An 18549-nucleotide genomic window follows, 5' to 3' on the forward strand; every position below is an offset into this window, starting at 1 on the left:
AGATACAGGATATGAAAGTTCCTGGCGGCCACTTCTTTGGTCGCCTCCTCAGTGGAGGAAGGGCTTTCTCATTCCCAAACAGGAGCGGCTGTGGTTAGGGGAGACCAAGTACACTTTCTTCTCGGTTTCCATTCCCCCCCCTCACCCACGTGCCTCCCCCACCACACCAGCGCCTCTTTCAGCCCCTAGCAGCAAGAGGAATGCCAAGAATGCAACTGCCTCCCCAGGTGCTGGCCCCAACAGGTGAGGAGAGGTCACTGCAGCAGACCTGCCTGCTGGAGGAAGGCTGAGAAGGGAGGTAGAAGGTGGGACAAAGATCCCATAGTTATGAGACAGCACGATTTCCATCCACAGGGAAAATGAACACAGTGGCCGACCCCTACTAACTGCCTCAGAGGCGTCTAGCGTGTGCCAGGTACTTGATATATTGTACCTTCTCTCTAATAACTCATACAATTCATACGCTCCAAATCCAAGGTAGGTGTTTAATATTCATATTCGAGATGAACAGCTCAGTCTCAGAACGTAACATGCCCAAGGTTGCACAAATAAACAGTGGTTGAGCAGAAAATTCGAACCATTTGAAAATGCTGGAAGGTGCTCTGAACTGGGAGCCAGGAGAGGGCAGTCCTGTTTCAGCCACTTTTTTTAAGAGCTGTGTAGCCTAGACAGGCCATCTCACCTCTCTGGGACTCAGTTTCTACACCTGTAAAATGAGAGCTAATCTGGATAATGCCGAAGGTTCTTTACATCTGTGCAACCAGGTGATCTCACATGCACCCCCTACCCCCGGCAGTTGCTTCTTCACGGGCAGGTACCCCCTAAGGGCTCACTGATGAGGCTACATGACATTCAGGAAGGGATTCATGTTCACCCTTGTGAAATAGGAATATAAAATCCCTACTTTGTATTTGGACTTTCATGGCCTCCTACCAATGAGTCAAGGGGAATGAGGTGGAGAAGGACACCCCAGCCGCACTTACCCCATCCTTCACCTGCCCACACACTCTCAGGTACCAACACAGTGCCAAGGGTCAGCGGTCACCTGAAACTAAGCCGAATAACCAGGACATCTGGGGGTAGAACTGCCCTCTTCCCTAGTCCTTCCCAGAGTTGGACTCTGTTCCTGGCAGAAATTAGTAACTGAATTCTCTTCTTGGGCCACAATAAATGCTTCCCTACAAGGTGGGGCAGCAGTACCAAGAAATTCCTTGGCCCAAGGTAGGGGAATATGAACATGGAGGGGGAAGAGGGAGCTTGGCACAGTGTCCAGGCCACTCGGAAATTCCTTCCCCCCATCCTGCCTTTTCGTACAGCCACTGAAAAGAGAAGCCTAAATGGCTTTCCTCCTACTGAACTTGAACTCTGCCAGTCAGCCAGGCTAGACAGCTCTCCCTGTCCATGTACAGCCAATCCTAGTCTTCCCTTTAGCCTGGCCTCCCTTAGGAGGTGAGGTATACAGGAAAGAGGCCAGGAGACTAAAGATCTATGCAAACCTACAGATGGGCAGTGCCCTGCACCAAGAGTCAGACCATGGTGCTGGTTCCAACTCTGCCATGTCCCACACCTCTAGGGTTTCAAACTCATTGGCCTGTAAGGCTTTATTAGATCTGAGTCCTAGAGTCTGTGATCAGTCCCATTTATAAAGAGAGGGCTCCAAGTCAGACTCAGTACTCTGCAAGTGTGTTCTCAAAAACAGTCACTCTCAGTGGTGAGCAAGGAAAGGGTAGGCTCTCAAAGAAACTCATTTTCTGATTTAAAGATCCCAAGCTTGCTGACCCTTGGAAGTATACCTCAGTGCATGCAACCTAACCTCCCCTAAGGGAATGTCAGACAGCACTGAAACCCACCTACCCACACCCAACACCACAGAGCCTCAATTGTGTATAAGCCTGCTGTGAAGATGCTGGGGACACAGAAAACAACTGATCGCAGCTCCCTTTGGCAAAAGGGATAAAATGCAATCGGTGTGCAATGAGATGGCACAGTGGCACAAGTGTGAAGATACAAATCCACGTGAGGGGGTGGGACCCAATGTGGGGGGCACATGCAGTTCTTCCAGGGCTTCCTAGAGGGAATGGCCATGTTGCTTAGCCTTGAAGGATAAGCAGGTAGGTACCACGCAATATAGGGGTGGGGGTGGGGGAGATCCCTTTTTCCTCCCTATCATAAAGGTCAGAACTGACACTTCTATAACGAAAGATATGGTAACAAGAGAAAAGCACAACAGGCTGGGCACAGTGGCTCACGCCTGTAATCCCAGCACTTTGGGAGGCTGAGGGAGGCGTATGACTTGAGGTCAGGAGTTTGAGACCAGCCTGGGCAACATGGTAAAACCTCATCTCTACTAAAAATACAAAAATTAGCTGGGTGTGGTGGCACGTGCCTGTAATCCCAGCTACTCAGGAGGTTGAGGCAGGTGAATCGCTTGAACCTGGGAGGCAGAGGTTGCAGTGAGCTGAGATTGCGTGACTGCACTCCAGCCTGGGCAACAGAGCGAGATGCCATCCAAAATTGATGCTGTTTCAAAAAAAAAAAAAAAAAAAAAAAAAAGAGAAAAGCATACAAATTTATTTGATCATAGTTTTGTATGACACAAGAGCCCTTAGAAATGAAAACCCAAAGACCCAGGGTGAAGTATCTTTTCTTTTTTCTTTTTGAGACTAGCTCTCATTCTGTTGCCCAGGCTGGTGTGCAGTGCACGATCTCAGCTCACTGCAACCTCTGCCTCCCGGATTCAAGCAATTGTCCTGCCTCCACCTCCCAAGTAGCTGGGACTACAGGCGTGTGTCACCACGCCAGGCTAATTTTTGTATTTTTAGTAGAGGTGGGGTTTCACTGTGTTGGCCAGGCTGGTCTCGAACACCTGACCTCAGCTGATCCACCCAACTCGGCCTCCCAAAGTGCTGGGATTACAGGCGTGAGCCACCGCGCCCAGCCTAAGTATCCATTTTTATGCTTAGGTTTGAGGAAGCACACACAGGATGCAGAAATGTGACCAGACAAAAATGGTATGAGCTAATGCTAATAGACTGAGTGGTGAAGCCCAGCAAGGCCTGTCCAGATTCTTCTTGGCCTCTCCGTTGCCAGATTTCTTCCTCCCAGGAATGGGGTAGGACCCCTCTGCAATGAGGGCCTTATGACCTACTATCAAACAAGGCAGGTCAGATCATTTCTTGATCACCAGTTCTTACCTAGAAAGCCAGGAGAAAGAGTAATATTTTTAGGCTGTATGGCTGGCTTTGGGGAGAAGGCTTCTAGTTTCTATGACCTGCCCTGGAAAAGAGGGATTCGCTTTGGCCTGCCTCGGAAGAGAATAAGGGGTAAGAGACAGGAGATCAGACAGAAACTTTGCCTCTGAGGCCTTCACTTTGGGGTATTGTTTTCTGAGCCCCAACAGCAGAAAAGGGTGTATGTCTGTAAAACAAGGCCCTTGGAGCCTGGGACTTCTAATCACTCCCACCCCTCCTTTTGGTCTCTCCCCAGTGAGGTGTGCTGGAAACAATACCGGACTGAAAATCATGAGACTGGGTTTTGATCTCAGATCTGGGCTGGCTATCTGCGTGTCCCTAGATTATTCAGCATACCTCCATGGGCACCCAAATAAGGGAATTCATCAGCACTAGGCTTGTTTTTGCTTCCAAGGTGGTCACCGTGCTCCAGTTACTTCCCCTTCCTGGACTGCCTGTCCCCTCCACCTGAGCCCTGCCCAGCTCCAATCTCACACCTCCTCCACAGCCCCCTGGAAACCAAGCCGTCAAGTATCCCCTCTCCCTGCTAAATCTCAACTGCTCTAACCAGGCAGCCCCCAGGGTTGGACGCTGCCCACGGTCCTCAGGGTCTTGGATTTGCAGTCCTTCCCCCACTGCCATCCTCCCCACTAGTGCTTCAGCTCCTGGAAAGCAGGAAGCACAGGCCCTGAGAAGAGTAGGTACCCAAGAGAAAGCCTATGGGTAAGGCTGAATCAGGATTCCCATTGGATGTGACTTTACCAGTGTGCCTGGGATCCAGGCAGGGCCACATTCAAGCTAGCTGGGTGCTCCGCTCACTAAGGACAGGAGCCAGGAGTGGGAATCTAAATTGCCACATCCCTAGGGATGGGCCAGGCACTCCTAGCTTGAACACTATTTGCCAACTCAAAGTACACTTGAGATTAGCGAGGCCGGGGGCAGGGGGGCACACAGCGACCACAGGGGAAAGACAAGAACTGCTGTTGTGGGCTGGCTGCTCCTGAGGGTATCCCCTCTGGCTGGGCATCCTGCTATCCTGGATATGGTGACTGGGGGACTGTGGACTACAGCGCCAGGAAGTGGCCTCCAAACCCCTTCTTGCTGGCTGGTCCCCACTCCCCAGAAAGTGATCTCCAGAAGTAACAAAGAAGGGGAAAGGAACAAACATCTATGGAACACCTGGCGTGTGCAGGTGCTTGGCTGAATATGCACATCACGCTTAATCCTCACCATAACCATGCAAGGTGAATCTCATCTCCATTTTACAGGCAATGAAGTCAAGGCCAACAGGGGAAGCAGGCCCATGTCCAACATCAGAAGCAAGAGATTCCACAAGTCAGTCAGGGCTGGTGGCAAAACTGTGGACTTCTTCCCGTGGAGGGGAAAACACAGACCATGTAGTAGAAAACAGGATTCAACAGGAAGTTCTGGCCAGGGATCAGGAGCATCCCGTGATGGCTCTGTCACCAGCTGCCCCCCTCCCCAGCCCAAGCAGGGACACTTAATACACTGGACAAAGCTCAACACTCCAGCTCTATTGCTGGGAGTCGAGTGGCATCAGTGTTCAAGACACTGGGCCTGGTACCAGCTGGTCCAGTCTCCACCCCTGCTGCCCAGCAAACAGGGCCACTAACTGTTCAAAGAAAGCTAGGCTGGGTTTTTTTCTGGACACCAAAGAACAGTGCAAAAGATCCTAAGGGTTGGGGAGGGAGGACAGAGCAGAATCCCAACTTCAGGGCACCCTCCCTATACAGTTTTCCTAAAAATAACAACAAATAACTGTTTGCATAGAAGGCTCTTAACTTCTCAGGATATACATTCATGTTCATGGTACCCTTTTCCAGCCTGAGGGGTACACTCTGGGAAGGTAGGCTGGGCAGGGGTTTCTGCACTAATTAAATAGAAGTCACACAGTAGCAGAGTAGTAGAGGAGAGACACGGACATCCAGTCCTGCTGTGATCTTTGCACAGGACCACAAGTTCAACTGCAGATGCGTCCTTCGTAGCTTACATATAGTTATCTACGGGCCGATTCCCTTGCTAAGAAACTCTGGTTTCTAAGTGTAAACCACAATGATTGGCTCCATTGTCACCAAATAACAGCAGCTGACATTTATCAAGCTCTTTTTACAAGCAGCTGCTGTGCTCAGAGCTTTACCTACATCAGCTTATTTAATCCTGGAAATACTGTGAGGTAGGTACTATTATCCTCATTTTACAGAGGAGGAAGTTGAAACAGTTTAAATAACTTGTGCAAGAGGAAATCAGATTAAAATCATTTTGCCAAAGCTCAATCTCTCAACGGACTCCCCAAAGTCCAGGAGACCTTGCTACCAAAGAAATAAGGTCTAGAGCAGATTTTTGTTTTCTGTTTTTTAAGAGCAAGGCCCAAGAGGAGAGTCCCAGGCTAGGCACTGCTGTCCATTCAGTCCCAAATGATCGATACAATATATAGTTGGTACTAACATTTATTGAGCACTTATGTGTCAGACACACAGTTTAGTATTCTATATACAATATTTAATAAAGCTATAATTTTTAGACTATATATAACGTAATTATATGTTTATAAATTTTATGTCTGTTATAATCTACTTAACAAAGCTATACAGTAAGTATTATCATTCCCATTTTGCAGCCAGGGATACTGAGGCTTGGACGAGGTTATGTAACTTGCCAAGCTGGTGGAGCTCACCTAGTGAAGCAGCCAATATAGAAACTTTCTTTCTGGCCGGGTGCGGTGGCTCACACCTGTAATCCCAGCACTTTGGGAGGCTGAGGCGGGTGGATCACCTGAGGTCAGGAGTTCAAGACAAGCCTGGCCAACATGGTAAAACCCTGTATCTACTAAAAATACAAAAATTAGCCAGGCATGGTGGTGGGTGCCTGTAATCCCAGCTACTTGGGAGGCTGAGGGAGGAGAATCACTTGAACCCAGGAGGCGGAGGCTGCAGTGAGCTGAGATCGTGACATTGCACTCCAGCCTGGGCAACAAGAGTGAAACTTCGTCTAAAAAAAGAAACTATCTTTCTGACAGTCTGGGTTTTTATCCATGTTGACTTATCAGGCTGTGACGTCCAGATGATAGTACTTAAAGTCTTCAAGTTAACTTTACTTTGAATCTTCAGACCAGCCCTGCCCAGGCTGAGAGCTCCAGTCTGGGTAAGGGGAGAGCTGGAGAGAGGCCTCCACTATCCCTCCACCACCCAGTGGCCTGGAATGGGCTCAGGAGACCACCAGGGATCACTGTCTACTCCTCCTCCTCCTTCAACGTTATTCAGGGAGCCAGGAGGGATGGGGAAGTTCACCACACACTCCATGAATACATAGGAAAACTCCCCCTAACACACACCCACTAAATTGGGGCCTGTCTGTCCACAGCTGTACATTCATCCACAGCTGTATTTTTATCTTCAAACTCATTCTGCTGACTCAAGCTGCATTTTCTGAGCACTTTCAGAACAACAGAGTCCTGGCTCCACGACAGGCCTGGTGGGAGGAGATAAGGGAGGAATGAGGGAATGGGACTGATCCAACAGAATGGCCTGCGACCTCAAATTGCGTCCCACTTATCCCCTACAATATGCTGCTCTATGGGTTTCCTCAGGCTTCCCGTCTAGCCTGGGCCTCCTGGGCCCTCCCACTCCCACCCCAATAGGCCAGCCTGTTTCCCAGGCCTCGGGCAGGTGAGTCTACACCAAGGCGGTCTCTGCTCTGAAAGGAGATCTGCTAAGTGCCTCAGGAAAGGTAGTCCGAAGCCCCTAGGACCTCAACCCCACCCCTGAGCAAAGGTTCCAGGACCCCAGCAAGGGTCACTGCGGGCCCTGGTCAACTGGCAATGCCCGGCTGCAGACTCCAGGGCAGCAAGACAGCAGCTGGGCTATTCTTAGTCCCTGCTCCACCGGGACCGGGTCTGTGTAACAGCTGAAGGGCGAGTCCTCACCAGGTACCCACCATGCCAAACCCCTCCCTACCCCCAACTCTGGCCCCTTGGAAAAAGAGGAAGCATAGGGAACACGCCCTGGAGTGGGGAAAAGCTGAGCAGGTCAAGAGTGTCTGTCAGGAAGATGGAGGCTGATTCAGAGGTCAAGGGCAAGAGCAACTCACAGGACTGCAGTGCCTGGGGGGAGCGGAAGACTACAGGAAGGCCTGACCCGCACTAGGGAGAAAGCATGCAGGTCCCTGGGGCTTTTCTAGCAAGCCTGCCTAGGCCCAGAGCTCTGAGAAGCTGCACGGGATGCCTAGGTACCACCACATCACACCTGTTTGCCGTTTGCAGAACTCTGTCCTTCCCCACCTGAGACCTGGGAGGCGAGGAGAAAACAGCGGCCTTTCTCTCCCCACAGAGGGGGAAACTGAGGCTGAAAAGGGGACACAGTAACACACACACACACACACACACACACACACACACACACACGGTCCAGTCCCAACTCTGTACCCAGAGCTCGCCCCAGTTCTAAGTCCAAGAGGGCTCAGTCCCCTTTCCCTGTCTTAATAACTCACTCTTCCTCAAGAAAGCCGGCCTGGGCCTGAGCACCCCGCGGCGCCGCGGCCGTCGGCTCCCGTCCCGGCTCCCCCAAGTCCCGGACTGTGCGCGCCGCAGTGACTCATCCTGCCCCTTTCCGGTGAAGCCCAGACAAGAGAAGAAAATAAACGCAACTTTCCAAAGAAAAGTCTGACACGGGAGGCTGCAACAGGAGCCAGCGGCCGGTCCGCCAGCCGTCGGCCCGGCCCGGTCCGGCCCGGCCCGGGGCTCCGGGGAGGGGCCGCTCCCCGCCCACACCGCCGCCCCGCCTGGGACAGCGCGGGCACCTCCTGCCTGCCCGCCCTCCGCGGAAGAAAGCACAGCTCAGCGGGGACCCGTGCAGGCGCCGGGCACTCGGCACCCGCCCCGGCAGAGCGTGTGGGACGCGCCCTCCTCTGGGATTCGCGCGGGGCTCGGCGCGCAGCGCCCCGGACGGCCACGGCGCAGCCCCATCCCGCGGGGCGCAAAACACGCGACAGCGCGGAGCTCGGCCGTGCACTGCTGCTCCCTTTCCCGCGCCGGGACCCTCACCCCTGGGAGAGGAGGGGGCGCGCTCCTACCTGGCCGAGGCGCGCGGCTGTCACCCGGAGCCAGCGCGTGCAGGCTGGTTCCGCCCCCCCTTCCTTGCCCCCCACGCGCGCCAGCCGGCGGCTTTTAAATCTCCAGGTTACTCCGCGGGGGGAGAGAGCATGCGCGCTGGGACTGCCAGGAGGGGGGCGGGGCGAGGCGGGACGGAGGTGGGGGGTGCTGCGAGGGGGGATAGAGGGGTGGGGCTGGTACCCAGGGGAAGAAAGCGGGAGGTCTCGAAGCTGGCTTTGTAGCCGCGCCGCGACGGGCAGCCCCCGCGTGGCTCCCAGACTGCCCTATCATTACCTAGGGCAGGGCACCGCCCCCTCTGTCGCTCGCCACCAAACATTTAGGTGAAAGCTACCCGGCTTCGCGGGGCACCTCCCCTCCCCTACTCGGAGCCAGTCTGCTGCGACCATTACCCAGGCGTGCCATTCTGGCCACCCGATCTCCAGGCAGAGCTGCTCCCTACCTGTCCAGGACCATCCCTTCAAAGGAGATGTCACATTCTCTCCGAATTACCCTTCTGCTCTTTGCTATTCTCCGACGCAGACAGAGCTAACTCAATCCCTCTTTCTGCGCTGAAAACCAAATTCCAATTTTTTTTCTTCTTAAGAGTGTGTACGGGGAAGAATGGATGATAAATTGCCAATGAAATGTTCTCTTTGTCAGCTGTTGAGCAAGGTCCGAACAGATACCTGTTCCAGAATGTCTTTGATGGAGTCCCAGGCTGGCCCTGGGGTTGGGGGTTGGGGGGCAGTTTTGTCTTTTTTTCCTCCATGGAGTTTTATTGGGTGGAGAGAAATCCAATTTAGTTGGATTGTTGACTTGAATACTACAAAGTCCCAGGAAGATGCCTTCGAAGGGGAAGACCTGGTTGGCCTTAGCCAACCAGGCACTGGGGCACTGGGTTCCAATGCTGGCCCTGTGTCAACAGCCGTATAACGTGGGCCAAGTCCCTTCCATGTTCTGGGCCTCTGTAAGAGGGGGTGAGCCAAATGATTTCTAAGGGCACCTTCCAGCTGAGAGGTAGAAGGAGGCAGAGAAGAAAGGGAGATAGAGAAGGGAGAGGAAATAGTGGCGCCCTGGTGGTAGTGGGGAACAGAGAGCAGGTGCCAGAGAGAGTTGAGAAGAGAAAAATCAAGAATCTACCTTCTGAGTCACTAAACAAGTTTAACTTGAAAACTGTCTCAGCGTTGCCTCCCTGGAGCAGACACACCTCTACCTGGGGACCCTCCTGGAGATGGCTTTCCAAAGTCTTTGGCATACCCTCTCGTGGCAAGCAGAGAGACTAGGGTGGAGTCCAGGGTCTCTGAGCTGGTGTCCCCTCTCCTCCAGGAAAGAGGTCAGGAGTCAGGGGAAATTTCAGGTCAGCTGGAAAATTACAGAGCCAGGAGAGAGTGGACGGTGGTATTTTGCAGGCTTGGGAAAGAACACTGGGAACATGAGAGAGTTGTCGCACCACAGACAAGTAAGAGCCCCCCTCTTCCTCCTGCCTCCCACCACTTCTTTCCAGGGGCCCTTGTGCTTTATGCCTTATGACAGGGGGATGAGGAAGGAGAGCTCAGGGGAGTGAGCACACAGCCTGGATCCCATGGTGATCCTGGGCCCTACCCAATCACCCCTTCCCAACTAAACCAGGTGGATGCACTGGCCAGGCCCCACCCAATACAGGGTACAGTAGGGCTCTCTGCTCTGAAAATCCCCCTCTTTCTGCTGATGTAGCCTCATGTTATAATAATAATAGTTGGCCAGGCGCAGTGGCTCACGCCTGTAATCCCAGCACTTTGGGAGGCCGAGGCGGGCGGATCACGAGGTCAGGAGATCAAGACCATCCTGGCTAACACGATGAACCCCTGCCTCTACTAAAAACACAAAAAAGTAGCCAGGCGTGGTGGCAGGCACCTGTGGTCCCAGCTACTCCGGAGGCTGAGACAGGAGAATGGCGCGAACCCGGGAGGCGGAGCTTGCAGTGAGCCGAGATGGTGCCACTGCACTCCAGCCTGGGCGACAGAACGAGACTCCGTCTCAAAATAATAATAATAATAATAATAATAGTTAACCATTACTAATTGTGCCAGGCACTGTTTCTAAATACTTTGTGTGTATTAACTCATTGAATCCTTAGCACAACCCAAGAGACTGGTACCATTTTCAGACAAAACAGAGGCAATTGGCCAGGTGCAGTGGCTCACGCCTGTAATCCCAGCACTTTGGGAGGCCAAGGTGGGCAGATCACGAGGTCAGGAGTTTGAGACCAGCCTGGCCAACATGGTGAAACTCTGTCTCTACTAAAAATACAAAAATTAGCTGGTTATGGTGGTGCGCACCTGTAATCCCAGCTACCAGGGAGGCTGAGGCAGGAGAATGGCTTGAACCTAGGAGGCGGAGGTTGCAGTGAGCTGAGATCATGCCACTGCACTCCAGCCTGGGTGACAGAGCAAGACACCATCAAAACAAAACAAAACAAAACAAAAAACAAAAAAAAACATAACGGAGGCAATTCCTCAGGGCAGTTACTTCACCCACAGCCCCTGATTACACAGAAAAAAACAGTCTCTGGGCCCCAGAAACAAGGCAGAGGCAGCAATCCCTCAGCAAGCCTGGCCAGTGACTTCAGAGCCTCAGAGAAAACCCGTACTACCCTCTAGGATGCTGTGGCATTCTGGGCAAATAACAACTTCTCTGGGCCTCACTTGTCCATGAGGTCCGCTGTAGGAAAACCACCATTGCCCTTTCCCTTCCTCTCTCTTCCCTCCCCCACCACACACACACACACACACACACACACACACACACACACACACACACACATTACTCCCCAGCCACTTCCCATTTATAGGAAATGGGGGATGATGTGAGGAGCAAGGCCATCCTTGGGGAACTGCTAATAGTCTAGCTGGATATTGGAGAAACCAAAGATGCTGGCAAAATGCATTAGCAGTCTCTGCCCCACCCCCACACACAGCCCCTCCTCATTGTCCTTGGGCTAAGAGCAAGCATCCTTCTCATTCCACAGAGACCAGATACCCAGCTGCATCTGGTTGGCCTCACGGAAGCCTGAGAAGTCATGAAGGACCTGGAGCTCCCTTGCTGTTCCCATCTCTTGCCATCTCCATCATCCAGGGCCGGTGGTCCACTTTGAGATGTCTGTGCTGTCTGCCTCAGGATGAGGGTGAGCAGTCTCTTCAGGCATAAGGGCCAGCAGCAAGGCCAAATCCTGGCTGTGGACTTGGAAGGAGGGATGAGCCCCCTGAACACAGCAATTCCATTTCTGGAATTTCTCTGGTGGCAAAATAATCAGAGATGTGTATATCAGAAGTATGTAAGAGTTTTTCATTTCATCATTCTTTATAATAGTGAAAAATTAGAAACAATTTAAATGTAGAATAATAAGCCATTGGCTAAGCAACTTATGGCAAATCCACTCAATAGAACACTATACTGCCATTAAAAATGATGGCATAGAATAATTTTAATAAGCTAGGCATGGTGGCTCACATCTGTAATCCCAGCACTTTGGGAGGCGGAGGTGGGTGGATCATTTGAGGTCAGGAGATTGAGACCAGTCTGATCAACATGGCGAAACCCCACCTCTACTAAAAATACAAAAATTAGCCAGACGTGGTGGCGGGAGCCTGTAATCCTAGCTACTTGGGAGGCTGAGGCAGGAGAATCGCTTGAACCTGGGAATCGGAGGTTGAAGTGAGCAAAGATAGTGCCACTGCACTCTAGCCTGCACTCAATTTTTCTTGAGATGGAGAGCGAGACTCCATCTCAAGAAAAATAATAATATATATATTTTTTGAGACGTAGTCTCGCTCTGTCTCCCAGGCTGGAATGCAGTGGCACAATCTCGGCTTACTGCAAGCTCCGCCTCCCGGGTTCACGCCATTCTCCTGCCTCAGCCTCCTGAGTAACTGGGACTACAGGCACCAACCACCACGCCCAGCTAACCTTTTTTTTTTTTTTTTTTTTTTGTATTTTTAGTAGAGATGGGGTTTCACCTGTTAGCCAGGATGGTCTCGATCTCCTGACCTCGTGATCTGACCGCCTCGGCCTCCCAAAGTGCTGGGATTACAGGTGTGAGCCACCGCGCCTGGCCCAATAATAATAATTTTAACAGCCTGGGGAAATGTTTATGATATTTTATTATTTTTTTTTGAGAGAGAGTCTCGCTCTTGGCACAATAGCAGCCGATCTCGGCTCACAGCAACCTCTGCCTCCTGGGTTCAAGTGAGTATGTCCAGCTAGGTTTTGTATTTTTAGTAGAGATGGAGTTCCTCCATGTTGGCCAGGCTGGTCTCGAACTCCTGACCTCAAATGATCTGCCCGCCTCGGCCTCCCAAAGTGCTGGGATTACAGGCATAAGCCACCATGCCCGGCCTTATGGTATACTACTAAGTGGAAAAAGCCAGCAACAAAATGGTGTACAGTGGGATATACATTTTTTTTAATTGTATATATACTAAGGCAACAAGATTGGATCTTGGAACAGAAAAGGGACATTAGTGGAAAAACTGGTGGAGTCTGAATAAAGTCTGTAGTTTAATAAATAGTGCCGCCAGTACTAATTTCTCAGTATTGTTTTTGTTTTTGAGACAGGGTCTTGCTCTGTTGCCCAGGCTGGAGTGCAGTGGCTGGAGCCGTGGCGCAACCATGGCTCACTGCAGCCTCGACCTCCTACGCCCAAGCGATCCTCCCACCTCAAGTCTCCTGAATAGCTGGGACTATAGGTGTGCATTTTTTGTACAGACAGAGCCTCATTATGTTGCCAGGACTGGTTTCACACTCCTGGGCTCAAGTGATCCTCCTGCCTTGGCCTCCCAAAGTGCCAGGATTGCAGATGTGAGCCATCAGGTCTGGCCAATTTCTCAGGTTTTTTTGTTTATTTTTTGTTTTTTGAGACAGAGTGTCACTCTGTCGTCACCTAGGCTGGAGTGCAGTGGCGTATTCTCGGCTCACTGCAACCTCCACCTCCCAGATTCAAGCAAGTCTAATGCCTCAGCCTCCCGAGTAGGATTACAGGCATGCACCACCATGCCTGGCTAATTTTTGTATTTTTAGTAGACATGGTTTTGCCATGTTGGCCAGGCTGGTCTCGAACTCCTGGCCTCAAGCGATCCACCCACCTCGGCCTCCCAAAGTGCTGGGATTACAGGCGTGAGCCACCACACCCGGCCAATTTTGCAGTTTTGATTATTGTAATATGGTATTGTAAGATGTTAACATTAGGGGAAACTGGTTGAAGGGCATATGGGAACTTAGTATTATCTGTGCAGTTTTCCCATAAATCTAAAATGATTCCAAGATAAAAAGTTGTTTAGGTATATATCTAAAGAGAGGAAACTATAAGAAAGGAAAGACATAACCACAATGTGGATACTGTTTTTTTGTTTGTTTGTTTTTTGAGATGGAGTTTTTGCTCTTGTTGCCCAGGCTGGAGTGTAGTGGCGCAATCTCCACTCACCGCAACCTCCACCTCCCAGATTCAAGCGATTCTCCTGCCTCAGTCTCCCTAGTAGCTGGGATTACACGCATGCGCCACCATGCTCAGCTAATTTTGTATTTTTAGTAGAGACGGGGTTTCTCCATGTTGGTCAGGCTGGTCTCGAACTCCCGACCTCAGGTGATCCACCCTCCTTGGCCTCCCAAAGTGCTGGGATTACTGGCGTGAGCCACCACGCCTGGCCGGATACTGTTTTGTTTTTGAGAGGGAGTCTCACTCTGTCACCCAGGCTGGAATGCAGTGGTGCCATCTCAGCTAAATGCAACCTCCACCTCCCAGGTTCAAGTGATTCTCCTGCCTCAGCCTCCTGAGTAGCTGGGATTACAGTCGCCCGCCACCCGCCCGGATAATTTTTGTATTTTTAGTAGAGATGGGGTTTCACCATGTTGGTCAGGCTGGTCTCGAACTCCTGACCTTGTGATCCACCCACCTTGGCCTCCCAAAGTGCTGGGATTATCTGCATGAGCCACAACACCCAGCTCGGATACTGCCTTTTTATGAGTGGAAGAATGACTTTAATTTTGAGGGGGTGCTAAGAGAACTTTTTTGAGTCTTTAAGTCTTCTATCTGCATCAAAAATTGCTTTTGTAAATAGAAAAGAATCAATAAAAATATTTTTAAAGGGCAGGAATAAAATAACATGAAGAAAGGAGAAAGAAAGAGGAATGAGAGATCACCATGGCAGGTGTTCCCCTGTGTGGACTGCAACACTCCACTTCCATCCAAACGACTGGAGTCACGGAGAGATCAGGAACCTGAACAGGAGAACCAGCCCCAGGAGCCTCCTTAACTGAAATGCTTAGGAAGGTCTGGTGAAAAGAAGTAAGATGGAACAGAGTTTGGAAAGGGTGAAGAAAGAACCTGCACCCAGCTCTCTGAGTTTGGGATACTCTGTGAGGACAGGACTTTTAAAATTTTTTTTTATTTATTTTTTTATTTTTGAGACGGAGTCTTGCTCTGTTGCCCAGGCTGGAGTGCAGTGGCGCGATCTCGGCTCACTGCAAGCTCCGCCTCCCGGGTTCACGCCATTCTCCTGTCTCAGCCTCCGGAGTAGCTGGGACCACAGGTGCCCGCCACCACGCCTGGCTACTTTTTTGTGTTTTTAGTAGAGACAGGGTTTCACCGTGTTAGCCAGGATGGTCTTGATCTCCTGACCTCGTGATCCACCCGCCTCGGCCTCCCAAAGTGCTGGGATTACAGGCGTGAACCACCGCGCCTGGCCTTTGTTTTTTTTTTTCTTTTTAAAGAGATGGGGTCTCCCTATGTTACCCAGGCTGGCCTCAAACTCCTGGACTCAAGGAATCTTCCCACCTCTGCCCCTCAAAGTGCTGGGATTTCAGGCATGAGCCACTGTGCCTGACCAGAGGAAGAAATTAAAACCGCTGAAAGGAGAATTGGACAGCTGCTTCTTCCCTGTCAAATCCCAAGCTTAGGAATGACTGTGACCTCTAGTTCTGGAGGTCACCCATGCCCCACCTTGACTGTCATCACAAGATGGCAGAGCCTTGGAGTTGCTGACAAATGAGCCCTTCACTACACAGCTGGTGACCTCAGGTTTGAGTGTTGCCCCTGCAGGGAAGATTTTGAAACAACAAACATGGCCTTCAAGGGCACTTTCTTCAGGAAATATCCCCCTGACAAATGAACATCAGAAACACTTCTGTAAAGGGATCTTTCCTCCCAATTTGAACCTCCTCCTGAGTCTTCCCCTTCCCCACCCAGACCTACGGGAAGTCAGAGAAGAGACCAGAAGTGCCTCCAAAGCAGAAAGATTTAGCTGAGCAGAAAGCAGAGGTGGTGAAATGCTGAACCCATTCCTGCCATGGAAATGTGTTGGCTCTTCTGCAGGCAAAGTCCACGCTGAAAAGAAATGGCTTCGGAGGGCAAACCTCCATCCGAGGAGACAGTTCGGGAGCCAGATCAGAGCTCAAGTTAGGGAAGAAGAGGTCTAAGGGAGTTTCCCTAAGGGGCAAGTCCCAAGTGGCTTTAAGCAGAGATTAAGCATGATGGGGACATTGTGAGACTTTCAGGCACTAGGTAAGAGGTGAGGCCGAATGAACACAATGGTCCTTTTCAGTTCTGAAATCCAATGAAACCCATCACAATCTCCTCTCAAAGACCCTAGTAGCTGGGTCTCTTAGCCTCCCATGTTTTAGAGGCAGCAGCAAAATGCCATGATGGTTCATATTTTAGAAACAGAAATTACAGGACAGATTGGGATTGGGGTTAGGCTGCTTGGTGGAGCTCAGTCAAGGCTGAGAGGCAGAGGCATAAAAGGTAATGCTATCTCCTTCTCCCTGAGGGTTTCAGGATAGAACCAGACAACCTCCCAATAAATCTCTAAATAGCAAAGACACCAAGGTAACTGGACTGGCTTCTGAAAAGCCTGGAGCGAGGAGGTGATTATGTCACTGTGAATACCGGGGATTCTACTCCCAAGCTCAGATGCCTGAGGTGCTAACTACAGGGTGGAGTTTGAGACTGGGGAGGGACAGCCAGAGGCGACAGAGCTCTGCCAGCTCCACATCCCCCGTGGAGATCTTTCCCCAGCTAAAATCACTGAGGGGCTGTGTGCTACAGTGGAGAAAGTGTGGGCTCTGGAACCAGACAGACCCAATGCCATTTACCATGCATGCAGTCATTCATTTCTCATTCGATGACCATTTAAGGAAATAACAGTTACAAGTCAGGCTCAGTGCTAGGATCGATCTAGTAACCTTATGCCTGTGAGTAAGTCATTTAACTTCTGAGCCTCTTTTTTTTTTTTTTTAATGCAGAAAGCTTTTTCTTCTTCTTCTTTGAAAAAGGGTCTTGCTCTTTTGCCCAGGCTGGAGTGCAATGGTGCAATCACAGTTCACTGCAGTCTCTACCTCAAGTGATTCTCCTGCCTCAGGCTCCCAAGTAGCTGGGACCACAAGTGTGTGCCACTATGCCTGACTAATTTTTTAAATTTTTTTGTGGAGACAAAGACTCACTGTGTCTCCCAGGCTGTCTTGAACTCCTGACCTTAAGCGATCCTCTTCAGCTTCCCAAAGTGCTGGGATTACAGGCATGGGAGCCACCTTGCTTGGTCACAATGAATGTTTGCTCATTCTTCTGTCTGTATAGAATCCTAAATGTGATGCTGTGTGGCAATGGGGAAGATCATACAAGATACAGTTTCTGTCCTTGTGGAGATGACAGTCTACTCTGGAAAACAGAAAGTTGTACACAAACGTGACCCAGCAACATGGCAGCAAATGCAAAAATCTCAAGGCTGCAAACCAACTCCAGAGGGCAAAAATGATCCGAGTTCAGAGGGATAAATCCAAGGAAGCAGGGTGGAGTGGGGGAAGTTCTGAGCTGAGTTTTTGAGGCCAGTTGGCTGGTGATGGTGGAAGATAATTACTTATTTCTGTGCTATACTTAAGGGCTTTACTAAGCTCTTTAATAAACATCGTCAGGTTTGATTCTCACAAGTACCTCTAAGGTAGGCAGGTGCCACCTCCTTTTACAGATGGGGAAACTGAGGTCAAGTGACTTGCCTAAGGTGGCATCTCTGAAGAATGAGAGCCTGAGGCCGCATCAGCTGGGTGTGCTCTGAGAGCCCTGAGTTCTCTGTCAGGCAGCAGAGGAGAGGGCTCCGCTGTCACTAAATTAGTTCTGCACCTCAGCAGTGTGTTACGGCAGCAGCAGCAGGCTCAGACAGAGCCCAGATCAGGAGGCTGAGGAGCTCAAAAGGGATTTGGTTGCTGGCTGTGACTCCACAGTCTTCAGAGTGGGGAAAATAAAAGGGTCAAACAAGGGGCAGGAGGGCGCAAGGGGAGAGGCCGAGAGGTCTCATTCCCATTCTCCCCTGTAGGGCTGACTCTCTGACTTCAAGATAGGAATAAAAGGAGGAGGAGTCTGCTACACCCACCATCAAGTGCGCTCACAGTATTTACTCAACCAGTGACAAGGAGGGCCAAACAAGAGGAAAAATCCTAGAACTGCAGCAAGACAGATGGGAATCACACTAGAGGAGGGACTTCCCAGGGCATCTGAGGTAAGGTGTAAAATCTCTGCCTTCTCCTCCCTAAATGTCCCCACAACTGAGTCCAGTGCAATACAGCCTGAAGATGATAGATGGGTGAGATGGCATATGGAAGCCCCATTGCAGGCCTCTGATGATGGGGGTCCTCCTGGCTGAGTAGCTTTTCCCATTCTGGAAGGGATGTCCTGAATGTGCTAGGAGTTGTGAGAGATGACTGGAATTCCAGTAACTTTTGGCAGGATTTACTACTGTATCTGGATCTTTGGGATTGAGAGAGGAGCAAGAAGCTGACACTGCCTACTGCAAGTGGCTATAAAGCCATTCTCACGGTCCTGATGCAATGCTCAAGATAAAAAGCAAGTGAGTAATTAATAACTAGGTTGTGAACTAACCTCTTGCTCCAAGGCATAGTACCATTTTGCACAATCCATCCAGGCCTGCGGGAAGGAGAGACACTGGCCTGAGTCCAGGTGTCTGAGCAGGAACACCAGCCCCAGACTCCAAATGAAGCTCCAGAGGAACAGAAGGAGTTGGTGGGAAGGGCCCCTCTGCTGGGCTTCAGGGCCAGAAAAGGGAGAAGGAACAAACACAAGTAGTGGCAGAGCACCATCCAGTCATGTTGGCCAAATGATGCCTCCTTTGTTCAGTAAGAAGTGAAGAGAGAATGCTAGAACCGCAGCCGGGCGTGGTGGTTCACGCCTGT

General features: G+C 50.8%; 1 protein-coding gene and 1 long non-coding RNA gene across 4 annotated transcripts in view, besides 6 other annotated features; one reads left to right on the plus strand and one right to left on the minus strand.

Moving 5' to 3' along the window:
* SLC45A3 (solute carrier family 45 member 3) overlaps positions 1–8434 on the minus strand; it is a 22659-nt gene extending 14225 nt beyond the window's left edge. The window contains exon 1 of the mRNA NM_033102.3: positions 8319–8434. The gene's annotated coding sequence lies outside the window, so the exon portion shown is untranslated. The remainder of the gene's footprint in view (positions 1–8318) is intronic.
* Positions 3313–3813: an enhancer, noted in NCBI's record as "H3K27ac hESC enhancer chr1:205644516-205645016 (GRCh37/hg19 assembly coordinates)". NCBI's record gives its function as "activates a minimal SCP1, AML or CMV promoter by ChIP-STARR-seq in primed H9 embryonic stem cells {active_cell/tissue: H9 hESC(primed)}" and the evidence as "EXISTENCE:reporter gene assay evidence [ECO:0000049][PMID:30033119]".
* Positions 3814–4314: an enhancer, noted in NCBI's record as "H3K27ac hESC enhancer chr1:205645017-205645517 (GRCh37/hg19 assembly coordinates)". NCBI's record gives its function as "activates a minimal SCP1, AML or CMV promoter by ChIP-STARR-seq in primed H9 embryonic stem cells {active_cell/tissue: H9 hESC(primed)}" and the evidence as "EXISTENCE:reporter gene assay evidence [ECO:0000049][PMID:30033119]".
* Positions 6220–6389: an enhancer, noted in NCBI's record as "experimental_1682 CRE fragment used in MPRA reporter constructs". NCBI's record gives its function as "activates a minimal promoter by MPRAs in K562 erythroleukemia cells, with activity observed for the introgressed 1:205647508 or rs2793374 variant allele {active_cell/tissue: K562}" and the evidence as "EXISTENCE:reporter gene assay evidence [ECO:0000049][PMID:34662402]".
* Position 6305: a transcriptional cis regulatory region, noted in NCBI's record as "Neanderthal adaptively introgressed variant 1:205647508 (GRCh37/hg19 assembly coordinates) or rs2793374 in the experimental_1682 CRE". NCBI's record gives its function as "modulates activity of the experimental_1682 enhancer by MPRAs in K562 erythroleukemia cells {active_cell/tissue: K562}" and the evidence as "EXISTENCE:reporter gene assay evidence [ECO:0000049][PMID:34662402]".
* Positions 7979–8198: a silencer, noted in NCBI's record as "silent region_1747". NCBI's record gives its function as "represses an Ori minimal core promoter by ATAC-STARR-seq in GM12878 lymphoblastoid cells {active_cell/tissue: GM12878}" and the evidence as "EXISTENCE:reporter gene assay evidence [ECO:0000049][PMID:35858748]".
* LOC105371701 (uncharacterized) lies at positions 8295–18360 on the plus strand. 3 transcript variants are annotated; one of them, XR_007066825.1, is made up of 4 exons: positions 8295–8424; positions 11345–11500; positions 17676–17858; positions 18086–18256. It is a non-coding gene; the product is annotated as an uncharacterized LOC105371701 (long non-coding RNA). The 3 variants fall into 3 exon arrangements; XR_007066824.1 differs by lacking the exon at positions 8295–8424 and adding an exon at positions 18282–18360 and having other exon boundaries at positions 8517–11500; positions 18086–18206; XR_001738415.2 differs by lacking the exon at positions 8295–8424 and having other exon boundaries at positions 8517–11500.
* Positions 16272–17228: an enhancer, noted in NCBI's record as "H3K27ac-H3K4me1 hESC enhancer chr1:205657475-205658431 (GRCh37/hg19 assembly coordinates)". NCBI's record gives its function as "activates a minimal SCP1, AML or CMV promoter by ChIP-STARR-seq in primed H9 embryonic stem cells {active_cell/tissue: H9 hESC(primed)}" and the evidence as "EXISTENCE:reporter gene assay evidence [ECO:0000049][PMID:30033119]".
* Positions 18361–18549: the final 189 nt, after the last annotated feature.

Source organism: Homo sapiens, chromosome 1, assembly GCF_000001405.40.
Source record: "Homo sapiens chromosome 1, GRCh38.p14 Primary Assembly".
In the NCBI taxonomy this organism is placed as follows: domain Eukaryota; kingdom Metazoa; phylum Chordata; class Mammalia; order Primates; family Hominidae; genus Homo; species Homo sapiens.